Here is a 12,763-nt window from a genome sequence, read left to right on the forward strand (position 1 = left end):
TAGATGACCTTCTGAAATGATGACAATTCAGTAAAATTTGGAATAAGACTACATAAAGGGCTGGGCACAGTGGCTCACACCTATAAGCCCAGCACTTTGGGAGGCCAAGGCGGGCAGATTGCTTGAGCTCAGGAGTTCAAGACCAGCCTTGGCAACATGACAAAAACCTGCCTCTACCAAAAATACAAAAAAAATTAGCCAGGCATGGTGGTGTTTTCCTGTGGTCCCAGCTACTTGGGAGGTTGAGGTTGGGGGATGGCTTGAGCCTGGAAGGCGGAAGTTGTACTGAGGTGAGATCGCACCATTGGGCTCCAGCCTGGGTGATAGAGTGAGACCCTGTCTCAAAAAAAAAAAAAAAAAAAAAGACAACATAAAATCTTCCCTTAATATACTTTTCTGGAAAAATCAGTGCAAAATAAAAATCTTTGTGTTGGATGTGAAACAGAATTAGGTGTGCATATTTATAAATTATCCAGGTTTTTATCAAGAAATGTCCAGCAGTTTGAAAGTCATGATAGATATAGATAAATTATTTTTGTGTCAGACTGTGTCCTAAACTTTGTAACACAATTACCACCTCTAGTCCTGTCCACTAAATTCCCTCCTTCAATTATTATGACAACCAAAAACAGCTACAAAAATTTATAAAATGATGCCACCACCACCCCTCCCCACCAGGACTGTAAAACGCATATTGACAGCTCTAGAGCTACAAGGCATGTTAGCATCTGGTCTCACTTCTAACATACCGCAGATAACAATATCATCAAACATTTCACAACGTTCACACGTGGGTCTCAGATTTTCAGCCACTAATATCTATATCACTGCCCCCGATCGCCTGATGCTGCACATTCTAGTCTTTTCTTAGGACAGCATTTCACTTTTAGGTACCAAATCATATGGCATGTTATGAGTTTAGGCTGCTATAATAAAGGAACCCAAAACTGAACAGACATTTCCTTCTCCTATAGAAGTTCTCCCAGCATTCTAAGACTAAGAAGGCAGACTGACAACGTAAGGACTCTTACCACTACTCTCTTTTTGCTCCGTCATTCTCAATTTCTACGATTTCCATTTCAGAGATCCAACATGACTGTTCTAGCTCTAGCCATCACATCTGTATTCCAGCAATGAAAAGGGAAAAGATTAAAAAAAAAAAAAGGCATTTTTCTTTCCTTAAAAGGCAAATCCCAAAAGCAGACAGACAATTTCTCTTACATCCCTTACTCTAGAACTTAGTGTTTTTATTTTTGAGATTCTAAAACTAAAGATGACTGGTGACTCTAAGAATCTAGAGAATCTAGTAGGTATTTTTCTCCCAAACAGGTGGCATAGTGAAATGAACCCCAAACTAGAAATTCTAATTCTGGTTGTACTGCTAACTAGCTTGGAGATCTCAGGCAGGTCATTTAACTTCTACGATTGTTTCTCCATCTGTAAAATGAGTAAAGGGGAGGTGAATAGGTTATTTCTAATTTTCCAATTCCAGAGTATAATAGCCAGGACATCATTATGACTAGACTAAATCTTAAAACTTTTTTCCTAAAAATTTTGCAATCTGTTCATTGTAGGTGATTGATTTTTCAGAACTCATTCCAATTTTATAAAGTAAGTTAGGAACATGGAATTTAATGGAAAAAAAATTTACTTTAGATTTTTGTCATAATGCTTTTAAACAAATATGTATTGAACACTTACCACAAGCCAGACACTGACTTAGACACTACAGATAAAATGCAGAGCAAGATTGGCACAGTGCCTCCCCTCATGGAAAATACAGACAAACAGAAAATAATGGAAATGCATAGCAAGTGCTTGAAGGAAATGTACAAATGTCTAAACAAGACACTAACAGAAGTGACCAGCTTTAGATAGGGTGATCACAAAGGCCAGAGGCCTTAGAATCAAAGGAGCTGCTTGTGCACATTGTGGGACTAGAAAGAGCATTCCAGGCAAAGAGGGATTGCCTGTATAAAGGCCCTAGGAACCTGAGAAAAAAAAATAAAAAATAAACACGGGCCAGATCATACAGGTACTGACAGGCCCTGGTAAGAAATTCAAAGGTATTAAGATTTATTCTCAGGAAAGGGGGAAGGCAATGAAGGGTTTCAAAAAGGTAATTATGTGAATTAGCTCTCAGTCTAACATCACTTTTGCTTTTGTTGGAAGGAAATAAAAGAGAAAGCAGAGAGACCAATAATCCAGGGAGAAATGGTGGCAGTTGAGACAAAGGGGTGGTAATAAGAGAAAGAAAAAAAAAATACCTGTATAAAGTGCAATTTTAAAGCTTAATTTTATACCTAATGGTATATACAATCAATCAATGAACAATCACATTCTGAGGTCCTACCGTATGTCCAGATGGAAGTGTAAAGGTGAATGATATATTGCCCCTGCCCTCTAGGAACTTATAATTTATTTGTGGGGGAACAGCTAACAAGTAGGAAACCATATCAATAATCTTACAAGAACTTCTCTGATACCTTATAAAAAGTGATTTATTTCTCTTATGTCTTTGAATTAACAGAGGAATGTTTAGAAATCTTAAAATATTATGTCTGTGTTGTATCCTGCTATTGCTTATTATATTTACAGACTGATTTTCCTGTGCAAGAACCAGGATGCAACCAATGTCCAAATGGACATTTCTTTCTTTTCCATGTATTATATTTTTTCTTACTTAGGCAAGCTCTTGGATGTGGAGTAGGTACCAGATTGTGCTGGTGGTAGGATTAAAAGAACACTGCACTTACACTTTACCAGTGTATGATAAGATCTCACTCACGCCTGCCTACAGAGACCCTGAACTCTCACCTTTTCACACACCCACATTGGCAAACACCTCAGCCTAAGAGACAAACTCACAGATGGCAAACATAGGGTGTTTGCTTTCTAGAAATTATAAGAAACTGATTAAATTTCAAATAAGAAAGAAAGATCAAATGTAGCAAATGATCTCATTTAAAATAATCAGTGCACTGTATTAGAAATATCTTTTCCGGCTGGGCACGGTTGCTCACGCCTGTAATCCCAGCACTTTGGGAGGCTGAGGTGGGCAGATCACCTGAGGTCAGGAGTTGGAGAACAGCCTGACCAACATGGAGAAACCCCGTCTCTACTAAAAAAAAAAAAAAAACAAAATTAGCCAGGCGTGGTGGCGCATGCCTGTAAGCCCAGCTACTCGGGAGGCTGAGGCAGGAGAATCGCTTGAACCCGGGAGGTGGAGTTTGCGGTGAGCCGAGATCACTCCATTGTACTCCAGCCTGGGCAACAAGAGCAAAACTCCATCTCGAAAAAGTAAAGAAAAGAAATCTCTTTTCCAAACAATATCTTGGAATAAACTAAAAGTAACTTGCCTCAGACTTAAAGGTCCTCGATGAAAAGGGCTATAGTTTTGCTACTTAAATTACTCTTTCAGGTAAATTTTCAAATATTATTGGCATTGGAGAACTTCATGTGAAAACCTCATGCCCATGGCCTAGGGTTCTCGCCCCGTACCACAGGTTTGAACACCATCAGACTTGCACATTCACAACAGTAACCCCAGTTCTTGTGGATGGTAACGTGTATATCTCTCCAAGTCTGTCGAGAGCAGCAGGAATGAGGAAAGTAAAAGGATGCCAGAGGCCTAACACTCGTGGCCATTACCATTCCCAGAGTGCCTTTTGCAGGAGTAGGGAATGGTAATTCTGATATCCTGGACACATTTTTAACTGAGTAATAACACTTTGCCTACTTAAATGCCCCCTGTAGTTTCAATTAACTGGGCATGCTTCTGAACATTCTTTTGCTGTTAGGCGAGGCGTGGTTACAGCCAATGTGCATTACTTCAGCAGTGAATAAAAGTGCTTTCTCATCTAGCACCCACCTTTCAAACCTGTGCAAGGGTAAGGATATAATTTAAACATTTAGGCTCTAATTTGCAAGACATTTTCAGAATAGTAAGGTCAATAACATTTGTATAACATTTCCACTGTGGGAAGAGGGCATAAAATCTAAGAATACAGTGGCTATTATTTTGATTATCAATTCAATAAGTAGAATCATGGCATTATTGCTATTGAATGCCTAGTTAATAACCAGATAAGAGTACTTCAGAGCTCAATAGGAATATAAAGGATATTTATAATGCAACAATGGATTATTCAGATTTTACAATAGTTATTTCTCAGCAAATAATGTTGCTTATAAAAATCATAGTCCCCTATCTCAACATTTCTTCCACTATTCTATGGGAAACTGGTGTCTTTGGAAATCTTAACAGATGTCTGCCAACAACAGTTTATGTTAGCTAACAAGTTTAGAATATACTGGGTCAAATTTAAACACTTTTTATCTTGCTTTTTTTTTTTTTTGGTTTTGCTGTTTTTGCAAAGCCTTAATAATATGCTAACATTTATTTTGAACTTCAAGATAAGTTATCTAGCATGTAGGACTGTATTTCCACAATTAATGTGACTATAGGACCCTGGAACATATATGCTATGGTCTGAATGTTTGTGTCTCCCCCAAAATTCATATGTTAGACTCCTAATTCCCAACATGGTGGTATTAGGAAATGGGGCCTTTGCTAGGTGATTCAAGTGTGAGGGCAGAGCCCTCACGAATGGAATTTGTGAGGGCTAATTCCCTCACTAAAGTCCCAAGGGAGTTGTTCACCCCTTCCATCATGTGAGGACACAAGGAGAAGGCATTATCTATGAAGAAGCAGGCCCTTGCCAGACACCAGATCTGCTGGCACTTTGATCTTTGACTTCCCAGCCTCTAAAACTGAGAGAAATACATTTCTGCTGTTTATAAGCCACCCATTTACAGTATGTTGTTAAAGCGGTATGAATGGACTAAGACAATATATTAACATATTTTTTCTATTTAAAATACATATTTATTTCTGGTTACTTCTTATCCCTTCTGCTGCTGCTACCCCAACTGGAATTAACATCGCCTTTCACTGGGTTACTACGATAGCCTTCCTAATTCAATTCATCTTCCTGCTTCTAGCCCTGTCCCTTGACAGTCTATTTTCAAGAGGCAGTCAACAACACCCCTTAAAAATCTGCAAAGAACCCTACGATAGTTTCCCATTTCTTTCAGAACAAAAGCCAAAGTCCTCACCATGTCCTGAGAAGCCACAGGTTATCTCACCTCTCCCTCTTCTCGAGTTTTTCTAAACTCATCTCCTTTTGCCTGCTCAGCTTCAACTTCATACGTCTGTTGAAAGTTTCTCAATACACCAGGAATGCTTCCATTAAAGCCTATTTACACCGGGTGTTCTGTCTGCTTGGCAGAGCCTTCTCTAGATAGCCGCAGGGTACATTCCCTCACTTCCTTCCAGTCATTTGCTCAAGTGATGCCTTCTCAGTGGGACCCGCTCTCACCAACCCACCTGTTTCAGATGCTAACCTCTACCCGAACCCATCTGGCAACCCTGATTCCCTTTATCCCACTTTTCCCTGGATCCACTGCATTTATCATCTATGACCATGCTACAAAAATAAGTAATTTATTATGTTTATTTCTGACTCCAACTAGAAAGTAAAGTGCAGGGAGGTACAGATTTTATTTTATTCTGTAAAATAATTTGCTCTAATTTCTAGAACAGTGTCTAGCATGTATTGGGTTGTCAATAAATATTTATTGAATAAAGAAAAAGAAAAGAATATTCTCCATATATATTTCTAAAATCAAAATGTGTCATAAAAATGAAATGTTTCTTTTTTCCCTGTTATAATATTTCTGGTGTTTGTTATAGTTACTTATGTCTTCGAATCTAGGAAATATAAATCAGGGGATACTTGGATTTTTCCAAACTCGCTGCCATCAGAGTTAATTTAATATCTGGTAAAAAGAAGAAGCCTAATGTCATCTGTGACTTCTCTTTTTCTAATTTTATCACTCCTTTCTCTGTACCTGAAATTAATTTTTTGCCAAGTTGCCTAGTCCTGCCAACTGTATTTCAATAATAATGTCCTAATTAATTTCCTTCCCTCCTTCCCTGCTAGGAAGGGCACACATAGAGAGACAACTGCCAGTAATCCTACAGGGGAGGCCGGAACTCTATCATAGGTGGCCTTCAAGGCAATTAAACTTTTCATGGTAAACAATAGTGAGCCACTACATTTTTTTAAGCAAGATCAGAATTTTTAGAAAGGTAACTCTGACAGTGATGTATCAAATGACCTGAAGGTCAGCAGAACTCTCATTTCTAATTCTGCACGAACTCTTGATTTCCCGCTATGTGATGATCTTTCCATCAGTTTCTCATCTACTTTCTCTTTGGCCACCTACTCACATCTGAAACCTGCTCCTTCTCCAAGAGCCTGGGTATACGACAAAGACCCAGGTCACGAGACATCCCTGGTTCCATCACCTTTGAGATCTTTCTGGTCTTCTTACACACTCTGACCATAAGAGAACAAAGGGAGAAAGGAGAGAAAAAGAAGGGCTCGACATTTATTTCTTATAATCTCTAAATAATCTCATATAATGTGAGTTAGTCCCACCTTACAAGTAAGGGGATCGAGGTTCAAAACACTAAAATATTTTACCCAACATCATATAAGTAGTGGGATTCAAACTTATAGCTGCCCAGAAGAATAAAAACAGTAAGACTGACTGAACTTTTTTTTTTTTTTTTGAGACTGATTCTCACTCTTTCGCCCAGGCTGGAGTGCAGCGATGTGATCTTGGCTGTCTGCAACCTCCGCCTCCCAGGTTCAAGTGATTCTCCTGCCTCCCCAGTAGCTGAGATTACAGGCATGCACCACCATGCCAGGCTAATTTTTGTATTTTTAGTAGAGACAGGGTTTCACCACGTTGGCCAGGCTGGTCTTGAACTCCTGACCTCAAGTGATCTGCCCGCCTCGCCTCCCAAAGTGCTGGGGTTACAGGCTTGAGCTATCGAGCCTGGCCTGACTGACTTCTAATGAGCATCTAAGTTCCAGATACTGAAACATCTCTTTTACATAAATTATTTAAATTCCAATAGGCTTATGGGGAGCTTCAGTTGTTATCCCCATTATATAGAACAGGAGACCAAGATTAGGAAGATTAAGTAATTTTCCAAAGTTCACATGGCTAGTAAATGATGATTCTAAGACTAGAGCTCAGTTTTATCTAACTGGGGTGAGAGGTCCTAACCCCCACACTATCAATAAACTCCAGTGCTTCCCCATGGGTCATCTTGCCTCCTGCGGTATGGAAAACAAGAGCCATGGGGCACACACTGGCCTGGCCCTGACCATCACTACATGATGGTCTGTCAGCCTTGGGTGTCAGTGAGCCCGTGCTCTCTCTGCTGTCGGCAGGCCTGGATCAGCTGTTTATCCTGCCACTGGGTGCGGGGGGAAGGGAATAGCTCTGGACGGATCAGTGCTCTTAAAAATATTTTTTTTTTCTGTACTGTTTCCTGCTTTAACAATTTATATCCCGTCCACCACTACCACCATCACCACCTGCCCCTAGAATTGTGGGGAAGAAAGAAAACTCTAAAGCTTAAGATGCAAGAATTCTAGTTGAATTTCAATTGTGACTATCAAAGCAGAAAAGTCCTCTGTAAATATTAAAATTTTACCATATCTTTCTGCCCAGCACTATGGGTTACACGTGAACTTGGCAGCATTTTATTTGGGAACGCAAAGTCCGGCTTACTCCTTTTTTCTTTTTTGAATACTCATTTAGCATTGGCTCAATACTTGAGGTTCTTGGGTAAAGGTTTCTCAATTAGATAGTTAATTTGGATCTAAAGAGTTATTAGTCAAAATACCCTGTGATATGAAGACTGGTGTGAATAAAGACAGAAACATTTCATTCCCACAGATATAGCATAATAATAATGATAAATTAGGAACATCACAGACGTGTTCACACCATGCCCAGATGTGCCAAGAAATGGCGCTTATTTCTTTTTAATTGATTGGATCTTCTTCATAATTCCACATCCACTGGGCAGTCTAGAAAAGTTATTTCTGTTACATTGTTGATTCAATCTTATTAGGCAATTCAACCCATCTCTTTATGTAACTTAGTTTGTGCTTCAACAAGTAAGAGAAATACTTGTCAGATTTCCGGCCTCTCCACCTGGATTTACATGGATTATGTGAAATGAGTGAGGTACACATAATCTTAGGGGAGGTGGAGTCCTGGAGTTGAAGAGGTGTCCTCTAAGTCCTCCCGGCCTGGTCTTCTCCCAGAGGTGGTCATCTCAGGAGGGACTTGTCCATCCCCAAGGCATTCTGAAGCCTCCATTGCAAGAAACTGCCTTTAGTGATATTCATTCATGTTTTGTTCACTCAATTCTTACAGTGTTTCAGGGCCCCAATAGCCATCTCCCCTTGTTGATCAAGCCCCCATCTCCACTTTTGCTGAAAATAATGATTCCCAACTGGATCTTTATCTACCGTGAATGGCTTCATTTTCTTTAGACCACCTGCTTTGGCAAAGTTGCCAGGCAAGACCTTCACCTACTTTCAGCCAGATGCCCCTGGTTCGTTTCACAGGACACTCAGAAAAGCTACCATACCATGCAAGAGCTGAGGGAGACTCTGAGGGGTTAAACTCAGATCTTTCTATACAAAACCACAGTAAACCACTGAATTTAATTTTATGTAAAACCCCCAGTAGTTAAGCAGAAGGAACCTGTAAAGCGATAGCTTCTCATCCTCTTGAAGGAGCAGAAGGCCCTTTCCCCTCACCATTCCCCTCAAATTCTCTAGAACATCTCTATACCCTTCCCTCACTCAACCCCCACCACCAGGAATTGGTGAAAACTGGAGAAGCTGGAGCAATGTTCTCCTATTTCTCTGTCTTCTACCAAGAATCCAGTGGGAACTGAGGAGCCAGGCATTTCCCGACTTCTTCCTCACTTTCATTTAAGACTCGCTAGTATTGTTGTTATTTCATTTAAGACTCTCGAGTATTATTTGTCTGGCGGCTTCTCAATAGTTAAAGAAGAAATAAAGGAATTTAGAAAATCTTTTTCTTTCTTACAATCCAAATTTCATGACTATTGTCTTGGCAAAGAAGTCAAAGGAGCCAGCTTTTGAGATTCAAAACTGATCAATGGCTTCTTTGTTCTAATCTTGGGAATTCCCAGCTTCTCCCTCCCAGGGGCTATGTGCTTGGGAGGTAGAAGTTTGCAACAAGGGAACTTGATTTAAGGGATAAGTGTCAGTGCTTTAATTTACTATCTCAAACGATTTCAAATAATTCTCATTATAACTCCCACCAAAATAACAATATTAGCTTCTTACTATGTCAGATACTGTGCATCAATGTTATTTTATGTTTTACTTAATTCTTACAACAACCCTGTTATGAAAGTCTTATTACACACATTTTCAGCGTAGAAAATCAAGTCTCAGAATGATTCACACAGCTGGGAAGGAGTTCTTTCTCTTACCCACTGCAGTCTAAAATAGTGTTTCTCAGTTTGACTACAGCCCACACAAGAAATATAATTTATGTCCCAATCCAACTACACACGTAACTGAAGAAAGAGTTTCACATAACAATACTTAACTTGCACTCAATTTCTTATGTTCTGTGCAATTCTCTTCCTTTCTTTTTTTACTCTTTTTAATGCTAATCACAATCAACTAAATTGATTTCATGACCTACTAAAGGGTCATAATTGACAGCTGAAAAATGCTGCTCCAGCATCTGCTGCATCAATATTACAGAATTCTAGTAGAAATTACATCAAACTCTTCAGCCATTTGGAAATCAGGCTAAGGTAATTTTTCATATGCAAGTTATAATTGTGAGCGCTTCAGTATGAAAAACTTGAAGCAAGTAGAATAGTGAGTTAAATGTCAATTAAATACTGTTAAGTAGCTTTAAAATTACTTAGCAAGAGGAAATCCAAAAGCTGAACAAATATAGATTTGTGGTTGACTTGCCATTTTTAAGTAGTTTCACAAAGTCCTCTTTGGGTTATCCTCTCAGAACTTGTATCTAGGTATTTTCACTCTCAATTTTGATCTACAGGACATAATTGTATTCCAAGGTTTTTATTTTTCCCCAAGGATTCAGGTTAAAATGTAGCATTGTTTTCATCCAAATTGTATTCCAAATCTCTAAATAATCTCAAAGAAGAAAAACTTTCGTGAGTCCCAAATTCTTGAATGATTAAGGATTTGAGTCAGTGGACATTCTGCACTTGGAGTGAGCAAGATAAACTCCAGGCTGATGATGTCAACTAATTTGGGAATGAGTGAGTGACATTTCAAAAAACAGAAGGTTGAGAAGGTGTTCAAGAATTTCCAGGTCTTGAAGGCTAGAAAAAGCCAACAGATTTCTGCCTTGCAGTCCAAAGCTCATTACAAGGTTGTATGTTGGAGTGCTTTGCTTTAGGCAACTTTCAAGTAAATCAAGAAATGAGCCCTCTCCCATGTTTGCTGCACTTTCTAGTTCTCACTAAATTTTACTTTTGACCTCTGAGACATTTGCAACGGCACCAGGATGTGGTTACAAATTGGATTAGTATTACCAAGCAGATCCTTTTGACATGCTGGAAGACCTAATCCATCAGTTACCTACTGAAGCCAAATGGATGACGTTTGTAACTCCTTGGGGTAGGTTTTGAGATACACAACAGGAGGACAAAACAGAAACTTTTGAAAATATGGAAAAGAAACTATTCAAAACAAAGGAAAGGAAGAATGCTCGAATAAATGCTGGGAGACCTAGATTCTGGCTCTGCAACCACAAAATAGTTTTGGAAGCCTTACAAAGTTACTTGACCTTTTTCAGTTTCAGATTTCTCACCTGCAGATGTCTTCTGTAGCTTATCACCTGCAAATGGTCTCCTAGTAACTACTGACATGCCAAATAGTTGGGATCAATTCTCTCCCTCAAATTGCACACAAGATTGAAGTCACCATATTCTTCAATACTCTCATTAGATAAATACATTTCAGAGAATACTATAAATAAGCAATCCTCCTGGAATCTGGCACCATTGAGAAGAACCTAGCCACCAGTGGTTTTAGGAGAGAGCTAAGGGAGAAAGCATAACATGTAAACAAGATCACGGGATGAGAAATTCACACAACCTGTAGAGGGCACTAAGGTACTTTTTAGAGAAAGAATCAGACTAATGGGCATGAGAGGTACCTGTTACCCCAAGTGAGAAGCAAATGGGAAGAAAGGATGAGTGAGAGAGGTATCTTCATTCAACTTTCCTCACATGGTTCTGTTAATCCCTGCCTTCTATCCCAAGTAGACAGTAATCACAGTAATCAGTGATTACAAAAGATAACCTGCTAAGATAGAAAAGGGAAAAAATTACAAAAAGAAAAGCTTCTTTGTAAGGATTTGATAAATGAGCCCTTGATACCTAATAACTTCAGGATTTGCCATTGGTCTGAATTAGGAAATCCAAGGAGAAAATGTTTGAAACTCCTGCCATATTGATTATTGGCAGAGCAGAGGTAAATTAAGGGGAAAATCCAAGGAGTATCATAGGGTAGGATAGCACAGATGGAAGATGCCAGTCAATGCCTTATATTGCAAGATTGTTTCTCAGGAAGGAATGAATAGGATTCAAAATGATGCCCAGAAATGCCCTTACTTTTGTATAATTCTTAACAATTTGCAAAGCCTTTTGTAAAGCTAGAATCTCATTTGATCCTCATGACAGCCATTTTATAGCTGAAGGTGTAGAGAGGTGATGTGGCTTTCCCAAAGTAACACAGTAAATTTCAAAGCTAGGTCTTTAATAGAAATTAATTTCCAGTGATTTTTAACAGAACATCGGGCTGTTCTACCAACCCAGAGTGCTTTCGGGGACTTATTCACAGTGGAAAAATTCTGTTACAAGCCCAAGAGGTGTCAGTTTATGTTGGAAAGTAAAAATCAAATGGCAGATATTCACAAAGCAAAATAAAGACAATTTCTCATCACAGGCTTTGTAGCTCTAAGAAGCTAACAGGAGTTTTCACAACACAAATGGCTAATGTTAGCAGCACGCCGAGTTGGCAGTCCTGTCGTCTGCCTGATCAACAATATGCCATGCTGTTCGAGATTTATCCTGTTACAATTCCTCTGGGTAAAGGTATCATTTCCAAAGTATCCCTATCAGAAAGTAAATAGAATTTGTAATAAAAGCCAATAGAAGAGGTGGGAGCATATATGCTTTCCGTTCTACCCTCTTTACAGAAAAAAAAAAAAAAATTCATTACTGCCTATATTCAGATGATTAGTGTCCCAAGCCAAAGCTCCAGGAAGGGAATCTAGAGTCAAAACAGGAAGAACAAGTTTGGGTGTGAACTCCACAGGGAAGCCTCAGGCTGAGACATGATGATGTCATGGGCTTCAGGAGGGGCTTTGAAGTCAGACCCAAGGTTGAAACCCAGCTCTGCCTCTTAGAAGATGTACTGAGACTCATTGAGCTTCATTTTCTATGCAATGAGGATGAAATTCTGATCCTGCAAGTTGATGTAAGGATCAGAAATAATACATGTAAGTGTGTGTCACATAATAAATCCTCAATAGGTGGAAACTAGAATTTTTGGGTCCCAGATGCTTGATAGGAAATGGGGCACACAGTAATGTTGAAAGCCCTAAGGACAGGTTTTTCCTCTTTTCAAGTCTGCTAAAGACTAGCCCTGACACCAGGTCTTGAGGAAGATCTGTGTATCCAACAGGCCAAGGACTCTTTCAGAAGACAGCTTTTGTCGAGTGTCACCTTGAGTCCCCAAGTGTAAGGATTTATTATACTTTGATTTGTACAAGTCCTCCAAGATCAAAGATGGATTCT

The 12,763-nt window shown here is 39.2% G+C and overlaps 1 protein-coding gene and 1 long non-coding RNA gene across 9 annotated transcripts in view, besides 3 other annotated features; one reads left to right on the forward strand and one right to left on the reverse strand.

The window, feature by feature from the left end:
* Positions 1-12,763, forward strand: part of ADGRL2 (adhesion G protein-coupled receptor L2) — a 687,801-nt gene that overhangs the window by 232,533 nt on the left and 442,505 nt on the right. The gene's annotated exons all lie outside the window — the stretch shown is intronic.
* LOC101927434 (uncharacterized) overlaps positions 1-12,763 on the reverse strand; it is a 43,823-nt gene that overhangs the window by 24,785 nt on the left and 6,275 nt on the right. The window lies entirely within an intron of this gene.
* Positions 5,049-5,656: an enhancer, noted in NCBI's record as "OCT4-NANOG hESC enhancer chr1:82009398-82010005 (GRCh37/hg19 assembly coordinates)". NCBI's record gives its function as "activates a minimal SCP1, AML or CMV promoter by ChIP-STARR-seq in primed H9 embryonic stem cells {active_cell/tissue: H9 hESC(primed)}" and the evidence as "EXISTENCE:reporter gene assay evidence [ECO:0000049][PMID:30033119]".
* Positions 8,670-9,449: an enhancer, noted in NCBI's record as "OCT4-NANOG-H3K27ac hESC enhancer chr1:82013019-82013798 (GRCh37/hg19 assembly coordinates)". NCBI's record gives its function as "activates a minimal SCP1, AML or CMV promoter by ChIP-STARR-seq in naive H9 embryonic stem cells {active_cell/tissue: H9 hESC(naive)}" and the evidence as "EXISTENCE:reporter gene assay evidence [ECO:0000049][PMID:30033119]".
* Positions 10,993-11,152: a silencer, noted in NCBI's record as "silent region_1007". NCBI's record gives its function as "represses an Ori minimal core promoter by ATAC-STARR-seq in GM12878 lymphoblastoid cells {active_cell/tissue: GM12878}" and the evidence as "EXISTENCE:reporter gene assay evidence [ECO:0000049][PMID:35858748]".

This window comes from Homo sapiens, chromosome 1 (genome assembly GCF_000001405.40).
Source record: "Homo sapiens chromosome 1, GRCh38.p14 Primary Assembly".
Lineage (NCBI taxonomy): Eukaryota > Metazoa > Chordata > Mammalia > Primates > Hominidae > Homo > Homo sapiens.